The sequence below is a fragment of the Homo sapiens genome, chromosome 15 (genome assembly GCF_000001405.40).
Source record: "Homo sapiens chromosome 15, GRCh38.p14 Primary Assembly".
Taxonomy (NCBI): domain Eukaryota; kingdom Metazoa; phylum Chordata; class Mammalia; order Primates; family Hominidae; genus Homo; species Homo sapiens.
The window spans coordinates 40,735,763-40,755,284 of NC_000015.10; the positions used below are offsets into that span (position 1 = coordinate 40,735,763).

A 19,522-nucleotide genomic window follows, 5' to 3' on the forward strand; every position below is an offset into this window, starting at 1 on the left:
AGGCTAAAAATAAGCTCGATACCTGTATTTTATATACTGTAAAGAGCATTAACCATAACCTGCCTGCAACAGCCTCTGTAGGTAGAAACAATTATGGAGGTGTCAAGTAAGAATAAAGAGCTGATAACATCAAATTTGGTTTATTTCAAGTTTGTAACAAAATATATTCTAGGCAACTTTTCAGACATTGTTTTATAGCATCATAAACCCCATACCACTGCTGTCATTCCAAAAGCTGCCAGGACACTGGAAGTTATCAAGTGGTCCAGCCCAGGAATACAGGTAGAATTCACATGATAGGTGATAAGAAAGCAATGTCTGTGGGCCACTCTGATCCCTCTTTTTACCTTGGTAGGTAAGGTATGATCTTAAGACTATATGTACTGAGTCCTATTAGTCAGTGAAAAAGATTAAAGTGACAAGTTATGTGCTTTGTTCCTATAGCTTTGAAGTTCATCCACCTCACCAGCAATTGGAAGGTCTCAGGTCTTGCAGGCTCTACCCATGTGTAATCCTGGGGCAGGTGTGAATCTTGATTTTTTTAAGAGATTACTCAAGGGAGAGAACAACAGAAACGGAAGCCATGAGTACTGCCCCAATTCTAGATTAGGTTAGAGGTTAGAATAAATTAACTAATGGGGAGTGGTAGTGGGTAGCAGTCAGACCCAGGAGACAGATTTGTGTGGTTTCCTGATCTCAGCAAGGTCTAAGGAAAAAAGCCTCCCCGCCCCCCCACCTTAAATAGTGGCATCAAGTCATGAAGGCCAGTGAAACGTGGTTAGTCTCGTAAAATGACTTCCAGTTCTTCCAGGTCCTTCTGGATAGCCAAATCCTAGGGAGACAAAGAACAAATCTAGGGCTCAAAATTTAAACCAGCATTTTCCCAAACCAGTGGAACCTAAGAAGAGGGGCCCTTTGCTTCCTTCCTGAGCTCTGCTACAGTCTTTTTCCTACTTCCCCAGGATAGCCTGGAGCCTATTAAATCTGTCTCTTCCCCTAGAGGTAGACTCTTTTTTACTAGGGAAATAAGACCTCTAGGAAAGATTATTTTCTAAAAATGTCACATGATGATTCAGTGATGACAGGCAGTTTTGTTTGGTTTTTTTTTGAGATGGAGTTTTGCTCTTGTTGCCGAGGCTGGAGTGCAATGGCACGATCTGAGCTCACTGCAACCTCCACCTCCCGGATTCAAGCGATTCTCCAGCCTCAGCTTCCCGAGTAGCTGGAATTATAGGCGTGCGCCACTAGGCCCAACTAATTTTGTAATTTTAGTAGAGATGGGGTTTCTCCATGTTGGTCAGGCTGTCTCGAACTCCCGACTTCAGGTGATCTGCCCAACAGGCAGTATTAAAAAGCCTTACCTCCTTCGTGACATCTGGCAGCTCCAGGGCCAACTTCATCCACCATCTAGCTTCAGAGTTTTTCCCTAGTTCTCTGTAGCACTGAAAAGAGACAACAGTGAAACCTGATACTGTGTACTTTCAGGAGTTCCCAGATCTATGTTGAAGTAGACAAATGAGTTTACCTTGGAAATATATACCCTTCCTGCTTTGGAAAATCCTGGCTGTAGTTCTTCAGCCTGGGAAAAGGGACAAAGATATTTCAGTAAGAGGTTCCTATATTCTAATCAGGCTGAAGTTTATTAAACTAGATTTCTAGTCCCCAACCATGTGGCTGATTCAGTGGGTCTGAAGAAACCTATATTTTTGATAAGCTGTGCAAGTGATTCTGGTTTTCCCATAGAACAGGCAAACACAAAATTGCCCCCGACTAGGAAAACCCCTCCCATTAAGGGTCTCAATAATGTCCTTAGGAAAAAACAAGGTTACCCTGGTGTTTTTGCCTGCCACCTGCCCCTCTCATACCTTTAGGAAGCTCTGGAGGGCATCTTCCACAGTGGCACTGAGAGGGCTTTCAAGCAAGGCTGTAGCAGTTTTTTTTTCTAGCCAGCTCAGGTGAGAGACCTGCCACAAAAAGATCAAGGTGTGTATAAGAGGTTTTAAAAGGTTTTTTTTCTTTAAATCTTTGGGGATATATTGAAAATAGGGTCAAACGGGGCTGGGTCGAACCACCAATAATACGAGCATTCAGAAGAAAGGGCACCTGAGCCAGAGAAGGCTGAGGATCTTGTTCTTCCTGGCAAGGAAATCGGTGTCAGAAGGCATTTAGGACCATTATGTCAAGCACTGAAACGCAGCTTACCTGATAGCACCACCTGCCAAGAAGAAAGTGAGCCATGGGGTTTTCTGGCTGGAGAGCAATGGCTTTGTCCACATGCTCCTAAGGGGAAAATGTAAATATAAACTAACATCAGACACCAGAGTTGCTAAAAGAGAGGCAAGGGCCGGATGCAGTGGCTCATGCCTGTAATCCCTGCACTTTGGGAAGCTGAGGCAGGTGGATCACCTGAGGTCAGGAGTTCGAAACCAGTCCTGGCCAACATGGTGAAACCCCATCTGTGCTAAAGATACAAAAATTAGCCGGGCATGGTGGTACATGCCTGTAATCCCAGCTACTTGGGAGGCTGAGGCAGGAGAATCGCTTGAACCCAGGAGGTTGCAGTGAGCCAAGATCACACCACTGCACTCCAGCTTGGGCGATAGAGTGAGACTCTGTCTCAAAAAAAAAGAAGAAAGGCAAGTCACTGAGGCTGTAGAAAAGTTTTTGGCAGGGAGCTGGAAAGGAGTGGGGAATCTGGGATAGGCCAGCACAAGGAAGGAGGAAAAGCCTGTCCTCACCTTGAAGCTAAAGCCACTCTGGATGCGCCTCTGGATGCTCTCATGCTCAGCCAGCTGACCACAAAGCACCGCATACCTAGGGGGGAAGCAGCAAGCTCAGGGACAAGGGCTGAGTACCATCACTGCAAGGAATGGATGCCCCAACCACAGCCTAGTTGCATTGTCCCCTATCCCTGTACCCTCAACTAGAGCTGAAAATACCTAATTTTCATCTGTACGTAATCCCCATTCTTTACGGACCTCTGGCCCCAATTAGTATTCTTTAGTAGATAATGGTAGGCTTACAAGTCTCCAAAGTATTCTAGGTATAAAAAAAGCTGGGTTCACCACAGTAAATCTCTCTTACACAGTAAATCTCTCCTACACTCATAAGGAGTACAGCCACAGGCATTAATAAAAACTTGAAAAGCATGAAAACAATCAGCATAAAAGTATGAGACCTGACTATACTACTTATCTTCTGGGCAGACAAAAAAGTGGGTCTCATTAGCCTTTAAGCATACAGGTGTATCACTGGGACTTGGGAAGCAATTTCTTAGGATAGTCACATTGGGAGGGGATATTCTAGGAATTTCTGATGTTACTTGGAAACCAACAGAACCAGAGGAAGAAAGACCTCCTATATATGCCTTCTCCCCCACATCCCCCCTCCCAAAGGGAACCAGCCAGCCAGCTTCCCATCATCTGTCTTCAGAAACAAAGTCTTACTTCCCCATCCCCCCAGCATTGTTCCTAGCAGCACAGTTGACATTCGATGAGTAACCAGCCCAAGTTGCTTTTTCATGTATATGCTAAGTATCCGGGGGGTATCAGATACTTCTAGAGGCTCATTTCCATGTTTAATCCAAACAGCTGTTCCTCAGGAATAGCTGTTCATCCTTGGAAGCCCAGGGAAGCAGTGACACCCAAGAAACAGTTACCTGGCCTCTGAGAAGAACCCTTGCAGAGACAAAAGTTTCAGCAACAGATGGAGAAACACAGCCTCTCACTTAGCTCACAGTCTGAGGGTGGAGACATGGAAAGCAAGGGTGGCGGTGGGAAAGGAAAGGAACATTTTCACTAAAACTCAGGTGCTGGAACCAGACCCCAGGATATGAGTTAGCCGTGGCCCAGGTAAGCTGACAGAACTTTGCCTCACATGAGACCACAAAAAGGGCTGATGTTTTTGCAGCCTAATAAATTGACCACTAAACTTCTGGGGGGTGAGCTCACATCTACTTTTCCTCACATGAACCAAGCAAAGAAGCCAAAGTACCAGCAGCCAGGGATCACACGCAGGGGAAAGAAGAGCTTATGCAGGATAGGGGAGCTGCAGATTGTCCCAGCCTCCTGAGAGCCAAGAACTCCAGTTTTGTAGCTAGGATGACTCTTAACAAAGCTACTCATTTCTCCAAGCCCCATCAGAAAAAAAGCTTGTATTCCCCGCTTGCCTCATCCCTAAGCCACCTCCCCTACCAGAAACTTCCCTTGTCTCTGGCTAGGGGTAGACTGAGGCATGTGGAGATACAAGCCAGAACTCCCTCTCCTGGATCCTTTGGAAAATGCCTCTGTGGCCCAGGCAGAGAAAAGAAAGGGCTGTCCTCTGCTTTGGCCCTTGCTGGCTCTTCCCAGAACACTGCAGGGTGTTATTACCACAGGTGACAGTCAGCACTCTCATCCCCCTTCTCCAGAGCAGCCTCTGCTTCTTCTTTTCCTGTAGGACGAAGGTAGATCCAGAGTTGACATAGCTCTTATGCACACTTTCATAGGAAGGCTTGTGGGAAGAATGACTGCTTTAGCTCTCACCAATCCCTACCCAGCTTGGACTTGTTTGGAAATAGTTGTGAACTTGAGCAGAATGAAAGGCCGCAAAGAAGCCAGTCACAGTGGCTCACGCCTCTGTGCTGTGTAATCCCAGCACTTTGGGAGGCTGAGGCGGGTAGAGCGCCTGAGGTCAGGAGTCGGAGACCAGCCTGGCCAACACAGTGAAACCCCATCTCTACCAAAAATACAAAAATTAGCTGGGCGTGGTGGCAGGCGCCTGTAGTCCCAGCTACTCAAAAGGCTGAGGCAGGAGAATCGCTTGAACCCAGGAGGCAGAGGTTGCAGTGAGCCGAGATTGCACCACTGCACTCCAGACTAGGTGACAGAGCAAGACTGTCTCAGAAAAGGCTGCAAACGGCTTCTAAGGGAAGACTTCAGGGATGACTTCTGCTTCACCTTGGCTTCCCCATCTGTCATTAGAAACCCCAGTTACCTTCTTTTTATAATGCCCACCTGATGTGCTTGAAGCAGATTTTAGCATTTAAAATATAAAAGGATCCAGCCAGGCACGATGGCTTATGCCTGTAATCCTAGCACTTTGGAAGGCCGAGGTGGGTGGATCACTTGAGGCCAAGTGTTTGAGACAAGCCTGAGCAACATGGTGAAACCCTGCCTCTACTAAAAATATAAAATTAGCCAGGCATGTTGGCACATCCTGTAGTCCCAGCTCCCCAGGAGGCTGAGGCAGGAGAATCACTTGAACCTGGGAGGCAGAAGTTGCAACGAGCCAAGATTGCACCACTGCACTCCAGCCTGGGCGACGAACTCCACCTCAAAAAAAACAACAACAACGGATCCAACACAATCAGAAATTGTCCCCAACAGACCTTACTCTGGAGGGGCAGTGTCCATGAATCTCAAGTTGTATAAAATTTAAGTAAGTGGGGAGAGAGATCACAGCTTTGAAAAAATTCCCTAAAGGGGATGGGTACATTGGCTCACACCTGTAATCCTAGAACTTTGAGAGGCCAAGGAGAGGATAGCTTGGGACCAAGAGTTCAAGACCAATCTGGGCAACATAGGCAGACCCCATCTCTTTAAAAAAAAAAATTCTCAAAAGGATCCACGATCCAACAATATTAATTAGCTCTAGGCCAAAACTCTTTCACAAGAGCCACATGGACTGAGGTCTGACCAGAGATGACGTTCACTTAGTCTTACCCGAGTTTTCTAGGTTAGTGTTCTAACAAAGAAATGAAAGCCCATAAACATGAAAGTTCTGACAAGCGTCACTTAAGAGTATCGAGGCTGGAGCTTACGGACCACCAGATAAGGACCATCATGCCTATGCACTGGAGAAGACACTGCAACATAGGATTTTTTTTTTTTTTTTTTTTTTTTTTGAGACAAGAGTCTCACTCTGTCGTCCAGGCTGGAGTGCAATAGCACGATCTAGGCTCACCGCAACCTCCGCCTCCAGGTTCAAGTGATTCTCCTGCGTCAGCCTCCCGAGTAGCTGGGATTACAGGTGTGTGCCACCACACCTGGCTAATTTTTGTATTTTTAGTAGAGACAGTTTTGCCTTGTTGGCCAGGCTGGTCTCAAACTCCTGACCTCAGGTGATGCGCCCACCTCAGCCTCCCAAAGTGCTGTGATTACAGGTGCGAACCACCGTGCCCAGCCAAGAATTCTTTGAAGAAAACAAGTTTGGAAGGGAACATGGAGAAAATGGAACAAATGTAATGCATTGAGGTGGTAAACTGGCTAATCTGAAATGTTTTCCTTTTTTTATTTGAGACAGGGTCTCTCTCTGTTGCCCAGGCTGGAGTGCAGTGGTGCAATCTCAGTTCACTACAACCTCTGCCTCCTGGGCTGAAACAATCCTCCTGCTGGCATGTTCCACCACCATGCCTGGCTAATTTTTTAAGTTTTTTTTTTTTTTTTTGTAGAGACAAGGTCTCACTATATTGCCCAGGCTAGTCTCTAACTCCTGGGCTCAAGCAATCCTCCTGCCTTGGCCTCCCAAAGTGCTAGGATTATAGGCATGAGCCACCACACCTGGCCACAAATGCATTCTTAAGACAACTGATGCTGTGAAAGACTCTACCTCTCTTCCCAAAGAGAGGGACCACATGGCCCCACCAATGAGGGACGCTGCCTCTTTGGGGATTTCTCTCTGCCCTCTTCAAAGTACTGTCTCACTAGGAAAATAATAGCAAAGAATGAGACAACTAGTTCCTGCCAAGCTAGACAGACAGTGTTGTAGACAAGACATTGCCTGAGACCCCACAGAATGACTGCCTCCTGGTGGTCCAGCTCCTAGAGATACAATGAAATAAACTTTATACCCAGTAAGGATAATTCTTAAAGGCTGTGATCTCAGAGCAGAACCTTCAAAGACATTCCATAGTCATCTGACCTCCAGCAGGTAAAGCTTTGTCCATGGGTGCTAAGCTCAGGAGGCCAGACCAACCAAGTGCTGCCCTGCTAACCACTGCCTCCACTTCTGTCTTTGGGGTTCATGCTGGCTACTAGCACTAATAAGAGATGACCAATGATCAAGAGGGAAAGGAAAGGTTGTTGACATGAAGAGTCCAAAAATCAGCCCAAAAGCTGAGAATCCTCATCTGAAATTTAGGAGGGAAAACAAACTTTTGGAGAGAAAAAGTAATCATAAATAAGCATCTTTTGTTAAAACTTCCAGGAATTTTTCTGAGGGTCTACAGAGACATCCTACTCAATTGGTCTGTTCTTTCTCCATTGACAGAATTCTACAAATGTTTAGAATGTTAACTTTGAGGTACTGTTTGAGTATACATTATCAAGGATTCAATAATATTTGTAAGGCTGTACTTACAATAGAAAGGTAGACAAATCCATTTTAGACAGTTAACTGGCCAGGCACAGTGGTTTATGCCTGTTATCCCAGCACTTTGGGAGGCCTAGGTGGGTGAATCAGTTGAGGCCAGGAGTTCAAGACCAGCCTAGCCAACATGGCGAAACCCCATCTCTGCTAAAAATACAAGACTTAGTCGGGTATGATGGCATGTGCTTGTAATCCCAGCTACTGGGGAGGCTGAGGCAGGAGAATTGCTTGAGCCCAGGAGGTGGAGGTTGCAGTCAGCCGAGATCAGGCCACTGAACTCCAGCCTGGGCAACAGAGAAAGACTGTTTAAAAAAAAAAAAAAAATAGATATTAACTGAACCACAGACCTAGAAACCCATTACCCATTGATGGTACCTGACTCAGTGTGTGGAGTTCAGCAGGACACATCAGTCTCTAAAGTCCAAGCATTCTCTGACCTCATGACAGATAAGGCCAAGCCCTGAGCCTGGCACAGGTCAGATGCACCCTATCCTCCAGGGTGGAGCCTTTGCCAACAGACTTGCCAAGTGGATTCCAGAGTCTTCTAAGCTAGCTATATTCTTAGAACACCTGCCCCACCAGCTCAGAAAACTGAAACCAGATTTCTAAGCAGCAGCAAAAAACCTCAGGTTAAGAAAAAAGGTTTTGCCCTCTGTGGCTAGAGTGAGAAAAACGAATAACATTGATAGGATACAACTACTCCTAGAAACACATGCACGTGTGTTACTAATCAGCATGATATACAGATAAGCAAAGACTGCTCTCTTCTTCCAGAGGAGAAAGCAAGGGTCTTTGGGAGCCAGAGTTTGTCCCTAGTGGGTAACTGAGCCACAACTGCTGACAGCATCTTGGTGGTTCCCCGGGTCCCCAGGCAGATGGGCCAGCCCCACCCCTGAATCAGTCAGTCACCTTCCCACAGGAAGCTGTCAGCACTTACCATCTAGGGCATATGACTTCTTCTCGCTCACCTCCTCAGTGAGCTCACACATGTCACTGTAGGCTCGGGCCAGGCGCCAGAGAAAGTCCTGCCGGCTTCCATACTGCAGACCAGACAGAAACGGGTGAGGCCCCTTTTTCCTCAACTGTGGAGAATGGGGGCCTTGGCCTTCCCCCACACCCTAGGTTTGAATTTCCAAGCTAGTATGTTACAGTCATCAATATCAGGCCAGCTCCTACACGCAGCCTTCCCCCCAGTCATCCCTTCCCACGTGCAGTTAATGTATGACACATTCTCTGTCTAGCCAGTAGCTTGCACAATTACGGGGTGAGGGCATTCTGACCTCCTAGAACTGCTGGGAGGAAAGGTCAACTCCAAGATGTCATAAGGCACGAGAGGTCTTTTGCTGACACATGAAGAAAGTGTGAAAGGAAAAGGGAAACTTCTAACTTCTGGGGGGGGGGCATTTATACCTGGGTGGGCATATATTCTGTCAGTGAACCTGACAAGAGAATTATGGTTGAGTGACCTACACAGTTGTCGCTTGTAATGGGGCTGGCAGCTTGGACTCTGCCTCAAGGGAAATGAGGAGAAAAAAAAAATACAGTTCTTTCCACATTTCCCCCTAGAGGTGAGAGGTAGAGCTCTTTCTGCAGTAGCTCTACAGAAAGCAGAGAACTACACTCCCCCTCCCAAGAGGGGAGGCAGCTCTGGGGCAAGCAGTACACTGGCCCTAGGATCCACGCTGGGCCTCCTTGGAAGAGGATATGTGACCTGGGGGACAGATGCAAAACCAGCTGTCTCACCATTTCTCGTCCCATGTCACCTTGTAGGGGCAGTAACCACACGGGCCTTCATTCCCCAGGGGTCAGGAACAGAGAGATGGAGGGAGGGAGGGAAGGAGAAGGAGACAGGCAGCTGGAGCCTCACCACCAGCTTGTTGTTGAGCAGCAGCTGGAAGCCCTCCCGCTTGCCTTGCTCATCACCCCTGTGCAGCTCGTCGGCCTGCTGCAGGAGGGGCAGCACATCCTCCAAGCCTGAGGAACCTCCAGCCTCCAGGGCACTGGAGGCACCTGAAGCTGCCTCTTCCTCCAAGTCAAGAGAATCCTTTCTCCCCATCTTCACAGTCTCACAGCTCACTTCATCTTCCCCGTCCTCACTTTCTTTGTCAGAGTCCCGCTCATTGTCAGACTCCGCATTGGCTGTTGTGTAACTGGCAGAGAAATGTAAGGGACAACAAGAGGATTATTCAGCTCAGAGCCCCTAGGGTCTGTCTATCCCTCACCCCCAAAGAAGCACTCTACATGGCATTGTCCAAAGCACCAAATCACAATCATTCATACCTCTTAAGGGCAGACTTTTTTTCTTTTTTTTTTTTTTTTTTGAGACAGGGTCCCGCTCTGTCACCCAGACTGGAGTGCAGTGGTTCGATCTTGGCTCACTCAAACCTCCACCTCCTGGGGTCAAGCAATTCTCCCACCTAATTTTTTTGTATTTTTAGTAGAGACGGGGTTTTGCCATGTTGCCCAGACTGGTCTCAAACCCCTGGCCTCAAGTGATCCGCCCACCTCGGCCTCCCAAAGTGCTGGGATTACAGGCATGAGCCACCATGCCCAGCAGAAATCATTATTTGAGAGAAAGTTTCCTATGGGAACTAAGGGCTGGGAAAATGATCCAGGAAGGAAAGAGCAGACAACCAGCTGAGGCCCTGTGACAGTTAAGGCAAATGTGAGAAGTCCCTGCTCGTTTTTGCCTTATCAGTCAGAGACACTTGCCACAACCAACATGGGTGGGTGCAGCCTCAGGCCATGGGCAGCCACACACACATCCACAAACTCGCAACCTCTGGCCCAAGTCAACAACCAAACCTAAACCGCAACAGGAGTAGCCCATAGTAACCTTGAGAACTTAAGGGTGTGAGGAGAGGTGATAGGAACCACTTTGCAGCCAGAAGCAAGAAGGGGAAGACAATGCAAACTACCCCCTGAAAAGGTGTTTGGGGGGCTGCCATATGCCAGGTGGCTCCTAAGGAGCCCCAACCCTGATGCACCCACTAAAGAGGAAGCTGAGTTTCTCTTGGATCTCAGCCACCAGCAGCTGATTAGGGTGTTTTCCCTAAATGCCTAAAATAGATAAGGACTGAGCAGGGGAAAAGGTAGGACTTCTGGGGGTCAGAAGCAAACACAAGGCTGGGGGCGGTGGCTCACGCCTGTAATCCCAGCACTTTGGGAGGCCGAGGCGGGCGGATCAGGAGGTCAGGAGATCAAGACCATCCTGGCTAACACGGTGAAACCCTGTCTCTACTAAAAAATACAAAAAATTAGCCAGGCATGGTGGCAGGTGCCTGTAGTCCCAGCTACTCGGGAGGCTGAGGCAGAAGAATGGGCGTGAACCCGGGAGGCAGAGCTTGCAGTGAGCGGAGATCACACCACTGCACTCCACCCTGGGCGACAGAGCAAGACTCCGTCTCAAAAAAAAAAAAAAAAAAGAATAGGCTCCCTGTGGCTGGAGCAAAACAGGACTGAAGGAGAGATGACACACCACCTACAAATAAAGTCAACAACTGACAGCCTAATGTCAGGGCAGAAGTGCTGTCCTGCCCAGAAAACCAGAAACCACAAGGTGGCAGGCTCTGAAGGCTCTGGAAGTGAGCAGCCAGACCTGGTACCCAGTCCGTGCTGACTGCATCCTTACAGAGGAGCTTCAGCCTCATCTAAAAAAGAGGCCCCAGACACATCTACTACAAGAACTTGTAAGGTATTTAAAACCTTTCCTAACTGCACCTTTGTTTTTTAAGAGGTTATCCAAGTAGATTTCCCCTTTAGTTATTAGAAAAAAAAAAAAACACCTTTAGAAATCAAAGGGACAAGGATAAGTGTCATTAGATTTCGTAACCAACCTGGGTACTGATGAGGGAGACCACCCACAGGCAACCTAGAGAATGAAACTCCCAACTGCACCTGCCAGATTGAGAAAAATCAAACCAGAGTCTCCTCTGCCCAGCCAGGCCCAAATGCAAAATGGGTAGATGGTTTATCTGGAACGGGAAGCTGGAATTGCATCATCTCCCTTTGCTAGAAGGAGGGGGAGACCCTATTTCTTGCTGAGTTGAGGGCTGCCTCAGCCAATCAGGAGTCCAAAGAGGAGTCTCTCTGCCTCCAGCACTCCCAGGGAGGGACCTAGCCCTGCTGGAGCCCAGGCATCAGCACAGAATCCCCTGGGACCTGAGCTGCGATGCTGCCATCCCTCTGGATCCTAAAGGCCCAGCTCACAAAGCCAAGAAGAGAGGTCAGGGAGCCTTGCTGCCACAAACAGAGTGAAAGATGGTAGAGCCCTGTGAGGCAGGGAGGCTCCAGGGAAGCTGGCATAGAAAGTAGACTTTAATTGCATCTCAGCCCCACTTTAAGGAACCCTCAACAATCTGAAACCCTACTGCCTGAGGCAGCTTCTGGGGCCTCAGAAGAGATTAATCACATGCCAAGGGCTACCACATTTACACCATTCTCTCTCACTTTCCACCTCCCAGACTAACCCAGCCAGCCTTTGGAGAAATCTACCAGAGAGGAGTGACCCTTTTAACATACCCTGAGGCTTTTGAGATCTGCCAGAGACGAGCAGGGACCTTTGAAAAGGCCCTTTGGTCCTGTGCACTCCGGAGGACAGGAGTTCCCACAGTGGGCCAGAGACCCAAGGCTCCCTCTGAGCAGAGACTGCCACTCTACTCTTAAGCAGTAATGAAGGACTCAGTTACACACATCTCTCCTCCTGGCAATTAAGTTTCTCTTAACCTAAACCATGTTAGAGACTGAGTATGAGGCCTTCAAAGATAACCAGGCACATGGACCCTGACCTTGAGATAAGACCCAACTTAATGAGGTCATAAATGCCCAAGAAGGAGTCTTCACGATGAGGCTGCAGGCAATTTCTCTTGGCTGAGATGCCTGGGAAGGCTTGCTGGAGGAGCTGGTATTTTAGGGCAAGTTGGGTTCTGACAGAGGGAACTCAAGCTGTGTTTGGTACAATGCCCGGGGAACAAGCTCACAGAGCTGCACAGTGATTCTGCCTCTGCCACCCTCAATCTCCTGAGACCTCAAAGTTGTTATTTGGAAGAAGGAAGGAATACAGCTTTCAGTGAAATCAAGCAGCCCATCAAATCTCAGCCCTTCATCCCTCAAAGCAGCTCTCCTTGCCCCAAGACACACATGTTCAAAGCCATTTCAGAGTTTGTAGACTCCTAGAGCTCCCCCCTTGACCTACATGGCAATGACCATGGCACAAAGAATCATTCACCACGGCCACTGCCCTAGAGAACAGCCGGCTCAACCACACAGTGTTGCACCACCACCTGCTCTCATGCCACGGGACTGGGCATGGGACACAGCCTGAAGGCGCTATAATTAAGAAATCCACTCTTCCCCTTGCCCCATCACAGGTGTCTGGCAGCCCTGGCCTGCTCCTTGTGGCCTTGGGAGTCCCAGTGAGCACCCCTAGCAGTGAAGGACCCCCAGGTGTCCCTGGTTAACTGCTCTGGCTCCCACTGACCCCAGAAGTTTGTACTTCTTTATTTTTTTGGGATGGAGTCTTTCTCTGTCACCCAGGCTGGAGTGCAGTGGTGCAATCTCGGCTCACAGCAAACTCCACCCCCTGGGTTCAAGTGATTCTCCTGCCTCAGCCTCCGGAATAGCTGGGATTACAGGCATGCACCACCACGCCCAGCTAATTTTTCTATTTTTAGTAGAGACAGGGTTTCACCATGTTGGCCGGGCTGGTCTCGAACTCCTGACCTCAAGTGATCTGCCCACCTCAGCCTCCCAAAGTGCTGGGATTATAGGCATGAGCCTCCACACCCCAGCCTCAGTAATTTTTTTTTTTTTTGAGACAGAGTACTGCTCTATCACCGAGGCTGGAGTGCAGTGGTGCCATCTTGGCACACTACAGCCTCCACCTCCTGGGTTCAAGTGATTCTTCTGCCTCCGCCTCCTAGGTAGCTGGGATTACCGGTGCCTGCCAACATGCCTGGCTAATTTTTGTATTTTTAGTAGAGACGAGGTTTCACCATGTTGGCCATCTGGTCTTGAACTCCTGATCTCAGGTGATCTACCTGCCTTGGCCTCCCAACGTGCTGGGATTACAGGCCTGAGCCACCGCGCCTGGCCTAGTACAACTTCTTTAAATCATCACAAAGAGGACCAGGTGCGGTGGTTCATACCTGTAATCTCAGCACTTGGAGGCTGATGTGGGAGAACTGCTTGAGGCCAAGAGTTCAAGAACAGGCTGGGCAACACAGTGAGACCCCATCTGTACAAAAAAAATAAATAGAATTGGCTGGGCATGGTGGCACATGCCTGTAGTCCCAGCTATTCAGAAGGCTGAGGCAGGAGCACCACTTGAGCCCAAGAGGTTGAGGCTGCTGTGCTGTGATGGCACCATGGAACTCCAGCCTGGGCAACAGAGTGAGACCCTGTCTCAAAACAAAACAAAACAAAAACAAAAACAGTTGTGAAGGGCCTCAAGCTTTCTTTGATTTTGGGCAGAGCTGTGACCTCTCCTTCTGTTCAACCTCCTTACAGAGTTCAAACATCAATTCCCCACCCAAGTGGCCTGCTTCCTTGGGTTGCAGAGATGTTCTTTACATCTCAGTGCCCACTATCAACTACTTCCTCGGTCTCTCTCTTCAATTCAGATGTATCAAATATTAATTTCATTTTTGCCCCCTCTTTAACACAACTTCTGGAAGCATCTCTTGGCCCAGAGCCATTTAGGTAAATTGAATAGAAAAGGGCCACCTCTGTTTGCCCTTGAGAATGCAGATAACAGGGATCTGACAACCCAGGCAACAGCAGTCCCCCATGGAAGAGCAGAGAGCTCTTCACCACCACTCCACAGGTTTCTGGAGACCCCGGAGCACTCATCAAATCCAGCGTTGGTGATAATGACATTTCAGTCAACCACGGACTGCGCATATCAGTGGGTGCATACGATTATAATGGAGCTGAAAAATTCCTATCACCTAGTATTTACATTGTATTTTATTTTTCTGAGGCAGGGTCTCACTCTGTCACCCAGGCTGGAGTGCAGTGGCACAATTATGGCTCACTGCATCCTCAAACTCCCGGCCTCCCAAGTAGCTGGGACTACCGACCCATGCCACCATGCCCAGCTCGTTTTTTTTTTTTTTTTTTTTTTTCTTTGAGATGGAGTCTCACTCTGTCTCACAGGCTGGAGTGCAGTGGCGCAATCTCGGCTCACTGAAACCTCTGCCTCCTGGGTTCCAGCAATTCTCCTGCCTCAGCCTCCCGATTAGCTGGGATTACAGGCATGCACCACCACACCTGGCTAATTTTTGTATTTTTAGTAGAGACAGGGTTTCGACATGTTGGCCAGACTGGTCTCAAACTCCTGAACTCAGGTGATCCGCCCACCTTGGCCTCCCCCAGGTAGTTATTTTATGTAGAGACGTGGTCTTGCTGCCTTGTCCAGGATGGTCTCAAGCTCCTGAACTCAAGCAATCCTCCTGTCTCGGCCTCCCAAAGTGCTGGGATTACCCATGAGCCACCACCACACCTGGACTGATTTTAACTTCTAGTTTCCATGTACCTGCTTATAGCTAATTCCTCTGATCCAGCATAAAACTTGGCTGTTCTCTACACCAGTCTTTCCCTTAAGAAGAATAAAGGCTGGACAAGGAGAAATCGGCCTCTAGGCCTCACACAGGCTACCTGAATAACTGGAGCTAGCAGCAGATAAGGTCAGATGGGTCAGATGCTGCTACTGACATCACACTCTATCCTTGGGACCAGAGTTTCAAAGTGGTGCTAGTGGTTTAAACTCAAAACACCCTTAGCATGACCAGACTTGGAGGAGGCTGTCCACCAGACTCCTGCCAGCTGCCCCGCCTCACAGAAAGGCCTATCGTCAGCCCTCCTGGGCCACTGAGAACTCAGGACATCCACCTCCCACCTGTAAAAATGCAAAGGATCACAGGCAAGGCTCCCCTGTGGGAAGAGGGTGACTCCCAGGGAGGAGCATGCTTCGTGCTTAGACATCTCCGTATACCAGCTCAGCCACCCAAGGAAAGGAACAAAGTCAAACAATGCTTATCAAGTCCTTGTGATAACACAGAAAAATGCCCAAATAATATATCATAACTATGTAATAAACTAAGATAACAGATGCAAGCAATAACTGCTATTAACATCTACATTTGTCTGAATGACATAAATTGGATGGGTTTTTTGTTTCAACTCTTCTGTATTTATTATACTCTTACCTGTTCCAAAAATCATTTGCAGCAGCTTGGTTTGAATTTTCCATTGATAATACTTTTACAAAACACAACCTGGCTGTAGCCATAACTGCCTCCAAGAGAGACAACTCACCCCCCTTCACTCTCAGCATCTGTGAACGTGGCTCCCGAGGAGGCCGTGAAGTAGACAGAGCTGGAGCCAGTGGAGTCACTCCTCTCCCGGACAAACGGAAACCTTCGCCGCCGAGCCACTCTCTGGTTCTCTTCCATGTGGCATCTGGAAAGCAGGCCCCATCCCGAAGGGTACCATTAGGTCCCATCCAGCTTGTCTTTCTGCTCACCATGGGGTGCCTCTTACTACTGCTCCTCATTAAAGGGCTAAAAGCAGAGAAAATCCTAAGTCTCTAACCCTCAGGAGGGCAAGCAGGGCAGCTTCCTGGGCCCAGCCCGCACAGACAGACTAGGTTAGGCAAACAGAGCGCTTCAGCTGCTACAACAGATCAACCATGAGAGTCCAGAAGCAGCAAGGAGCATGTGCAAGGCGAGGTACCAAATGTACAGCTTCAACCCAGATTAGGCTAGAAGCTATAGAACTGGTTTATTCTTTAGAGACAGACAGCGAAGGCCAGAACACACCCCAGCTGAAAAGCTGCAGGGGAGGGATAAAGCAGGAGAAGAAGCCGCATTACTCACCGGACCTCCCCAACAATCTCCCCCGCAAGCCCTCGCAGGCTGCTTCTCAGCTCCTCCACCTCCCGCCGCAGCGCCACAAGGCTGGTCAGCACAAAGTCCAGGCGGTCCAGCACCTTCTCCTGTCCTTCCCGTGGAAGGCTGGGCAGCACTGAGGCATCTCCAGCCCCACCTGGGACAGCCCGCAGGAGCATCACTGAAGGGGGAAACGAATGGGAGCCAGTGACACACAGGAATATGGTGGGGAAGAGATCTCACACCCAGAATTCAAGAATACCTGCTTTCCATTGGAAGAGAAGGCCCAGTGACGCTCAGATAGCACACGTTCACAGCCAGGTCATGGTAACAAGTCTCAAGAAACTACCCAGGGATCTCTAAACGAGAGCCCTCTGCTCCAAGAACCTTCCATACCAGGGCCCTTCAGGAATGCTGCACACCACGATAGATAATGTAACATGCTTGCCCAAGTGTGGAACCTGAAGGAGGACAGCTGTCCTGCTAGAGTTAAAAAAAAACAAAAACCTTCACCTCACCATATAGTGCCCAATACCAAGGAGTCAATACCAACCACATAGCAAAACTAAAACTAAAACTGAGCTCCCTCAAATTCTGATCTCTCACTTCACAAATAATAGTAGGGAAAACTTGGAGTTTCTCCCAGAACTTCATTTAGTATATCAGAGAAGGACTAGGAGAAAGGGGGCAGTTATTAAGAGAAAAGGTACACCAGAAAAAGCCCATCCAAACTGCCTCAGAAAGACACCGTCACTAAGCCCTGCTGACCCAACCCTAGATCTCAGAGTAAATTCCAGCAGTGAAATGCTAGCAAAGTGACAGCCACCTATGGTAACTGAACTGGAAAATGCAAAAACAAAAAAGAAACCAGAGAGGCAGGACCCTACAATACGGCAAGCATAAATCCCTTCTTAAAGGAAATCTGGTAAAAAACTAGGCCAGGCCACAACATACATCCAATAATGCTCAAGAATGTAGTGCAAGAAAGATCCCTGGCAATGTGGCCACTTTCTTCTAATCTCAGAAGAAACACTACTGCGAAGCAATTACAAACAAAATACAAGGGAAGGAAGCACACTCCAATACTAGATTACCACAAGATTATAAAATGCTGACAATCATTTGCAATCTAAGCTGATAGCTCTTTGAAGACTCCAAAACTAACTTTTCCAAACCATCTAACATTGGCAATCAGAGAAAACACTCATTTCCAATTAGCATGGGAGTGAGATAATGTAAACGCTCCTCTTGGCCAGGTGTGGTGGCTCACGCCTGTAATCCCAGCACTTTAGGAGGCCGAGGCCAGGAGTTGGAGACCAGCCTGGCCAACATGGGGAAACCCCATCTTTACTAAAAATACAAAAATTAGCTGGGCATGGTGGCACGCACCTGTGATCCCAGCTACTCGGGAGGCTGAGGCACGAGAATCACTTGAACCCAGGGAGGCGGAGGTTGCAGTGAGCCAAGATCATGCCACTGCACTCCAGCCTGGGCAACAGAGCGAGACTCCATCTCAAAAAAAAGAAAAGAAAAGAAAAAAGAAAAGAAAAGAAAAAAAACACTCCTCTTGCACAAAGATGGTAGTAGTTTGAACCAGCCCTAGATCCTTTGCTCAAATGAATTGACAAATCTGCAAGAACTACTCATTTCAGCTGTACAGGCTGCCAGCCACATTCAGCTTCAATTGCATTAAGCGTGCTCCTAGCCCTATGCCGTAGAAAGTCCACTGGACCAGGTGACCAGGCCCAACCTTGCCACTTAATCTGTGACAGCCTCAGGAAAGTTATACCATCTTTTTGAATCTTGGTTTCCTCATAGGAGGGATAAAAAGAAAAAAAAACTTGAATGAGATAGTTGCCAAGTTGTCTTGATAGTTGCCAAGTTGTCTTCAAATTCTAATATATGATTTAATACATAAGCCTCAAGACTTTTAATCCCTACAAGATTATTCTTTTTGCCCTCTTTTGGACTCTTCCTCTACTTATTACACACCTCACCCAACACTAAGCAAGTGCCTTTAATACCCACATAGCACTATTGTGGCCAGAACTAAAAGTGAAAGTTAAACAGTCTTTTTGAAATATACTTTCTTGTGAGTACAGGCGAAAGAGTAGAGAAAACCACGACTGCTTTTTTTTTTTTTTTTTTTTTGAGACAGAGTCCCACTCTGTCACCCAGGCTGGAGTGCAGTGGCGCAACCTCAGCTCACTGCGGCCTCCGCCTACCAGGTTCAAGCGATTCTCGTGCCTCAGCCTCCCCAGTAGCTGGGACTACAGGCCGCGCCACCACGCCCGGCTAATTTTTGTATTTTTAGTAGAGATGGGGTTTCACCATGTTGACATCTGGTTGAACGTTGGCCAGGCTGGTCTTGAACTCCTGACCTCAGGTGATCCGCCCGCCTCGGCCTCCCAAAGTGCTGGGATTACAGGCGTGAGCCACCGCGCCCAGCCCGACGACTGCTTTTTCAACAAGCTTCCAAAAAAGTGAAACCCTAAAGCACTTCTCTCCGTTACCCTGTCCCACAGTCTCCACCGAAAGCAGCCCAGACCTCAGGCCCATTAGTCTGCAGTGACCGCGGTCTCAGGAGACGGGCTCCTACCGTGGCGTCCGGGATCTGAAGTCTGCGTATAGTCCAGGGAGTTGGGCAGGCTCTGGCTGCGGCCATGACGCTGGGTCCGTTTCCATCGCTGGCTGTAAAGGAGGCACAGGAATCCAAGGCCGGCGGCGGTACCCAGCAACAGTCCCAGCCCGGCACGGGCACCACCCAGGGCTCCCAGTCTAGACATGCTGCACCTGCGGCCAGCAGAAGTCACCGGGAGCAGGCAGGCGGGCGGGCGGGCGGGGGTAAGGAGAGAGAGAGATTCGTGAACCCGGTAAACCCACCCTCAAGGCTGAACCCCGGCAGGTATCCCCTTGCCCAAACCCTGAGCTCTCGACTACGTGCACCCCAGTCTGAACCCTAAGGCTTCCTCCAGCCTCCTGGGCCCCACTGCCTCTCTTCTCACCCAGCCTGGACGTAGCCGCCCCTCCAGTACACCCCCCGACCCGGGTCACAGAGTCCGGCTTCTGGGCCTTCAACCCCCACCTCAGCCTCACGACACTGCAGACCACAAACCCGGCGCCCTGGCTGCAAACTCCTGGCCTTCCGCCGCGGCCCCCGAAGGCGCTCTGGCCTGGCAGGAGATCCACTCAGACCCTTACCCGGCCGCCAGCCACCATGGCAGCAGCCGCCGCGGGCTCACGCTGTCAGTGACCGTGACGTCAGGCAGGCGGCGCCAGGTGCTCGG

The 19,522-nt window shown here is 48.9% G+C and overlaps 1 protein-coding gene across 7 annotated transcripts, besides 4 other annotated features; it reads right to left on the reverse strand.

The window, feature by feature from the left end:
* Positions 1–124: 124 nt before the first annotated feature.
* RMDN3 (regulator of microtubule dynamics 3) lies at positions 125–19,492 on the reverse strand. Of its 7 annotated transcripts, none has more exons than NM_001323894.2 (13): positions 19,437–19,492; positions 18,835–19,028; positions 16,224–16,416; positions 15,664–15,807; positions 9,215–9,497; positions 8,285–8,387; positions 4,371–4,431; positions 2,739–2,814; positions 2,203–2,280; positions 1,866–1,964; positions 1,526–1,579; positions 1,362–1,442; positions 125–832 (listed from the first exon to the last, which is right to left on the reverse strand). In NM_001323894.2, the coding sequence occupies exons 2-13, from the start codon at positions 19,019–19,021 to the stop codon at positions 779–781; spliced, it is 1,413 nt and encodes a 470-aa protein (NP_001310823.1). In that variant the 5' UTR covers positions 19,022–19,028; positions 19,437–19,492; the 3' UTR covers positions 125–778. The 7 variants fall into 7 exon arrangements, with proteins under 7 accessions (NP_001310823.1, NP_001310825.1, NP_001291731.1 ...); NM_001323896.2 differs by having other exon boundaries at positions 8,285–8,465; NM_001304802.2 differs by having other exon boundaries at positions 19,351–19,492.
* Positions 4,767–5,639: an enhancer, noted in NCBI's record as "H3K27ac-H3K4me1 hESC enhancer chr15:41032727-41033599 (GRCh37/hg19 assembly coordinates)". NCBI's record gives its function as "activates a minimal SCP1, AML or CMV promoter by ChIP-STARR-seq in primed H9 embryonic stem cells {active_cell/tissue: H9 hESC(primed)}" and the evidence as "EXISTENCE:reporter gene assay evidence [ECO:0000049][PMID:30033119]".
* Positions 10,831–11,000: a silencer, noted in NCBI's record as "silent region_6340". NCBI's record gives its function as "represses an Ori minimal core promoter by ATAC-STARR-seq in GM12878 lymphoblastoid cells {active_cell/tissue: GM12878}" and the evidence as "EXISTENCE:reporter gene assay evidence [ECO:0000049][PMID:35858748]".
* Positions 18,883–19,097: a silencer, noted in NCBI's record as "fragment chr15:41046843-41047057 (GRCh37/hg19 assembly coordinates)". NCBI's record gives its function as "represses an EF-1alpha promoter that drives an FKBP-Casp9 reporter gene in an ReSE screen in HepG2 liver carcinoma cells {active_cell/tissue: HepG2}" and the evidence as "EXISTENCE:reporter gene assay evidence [ECO:0000049][PMID:32094911]".
* Positions 19,213–19,422: an enhancer, noted in NCBI's record as "active region_9259". NCBI's record gives its function as "activates an Ori minimal core promoter by ATAC-STARR-seq in GM12878 lymphoblastoid cells {active_cell/tissue: GM12878}" and the evidence as "EXISTENCE:reporter gene assay evidence [ECO:0000049][PMID:35858748]".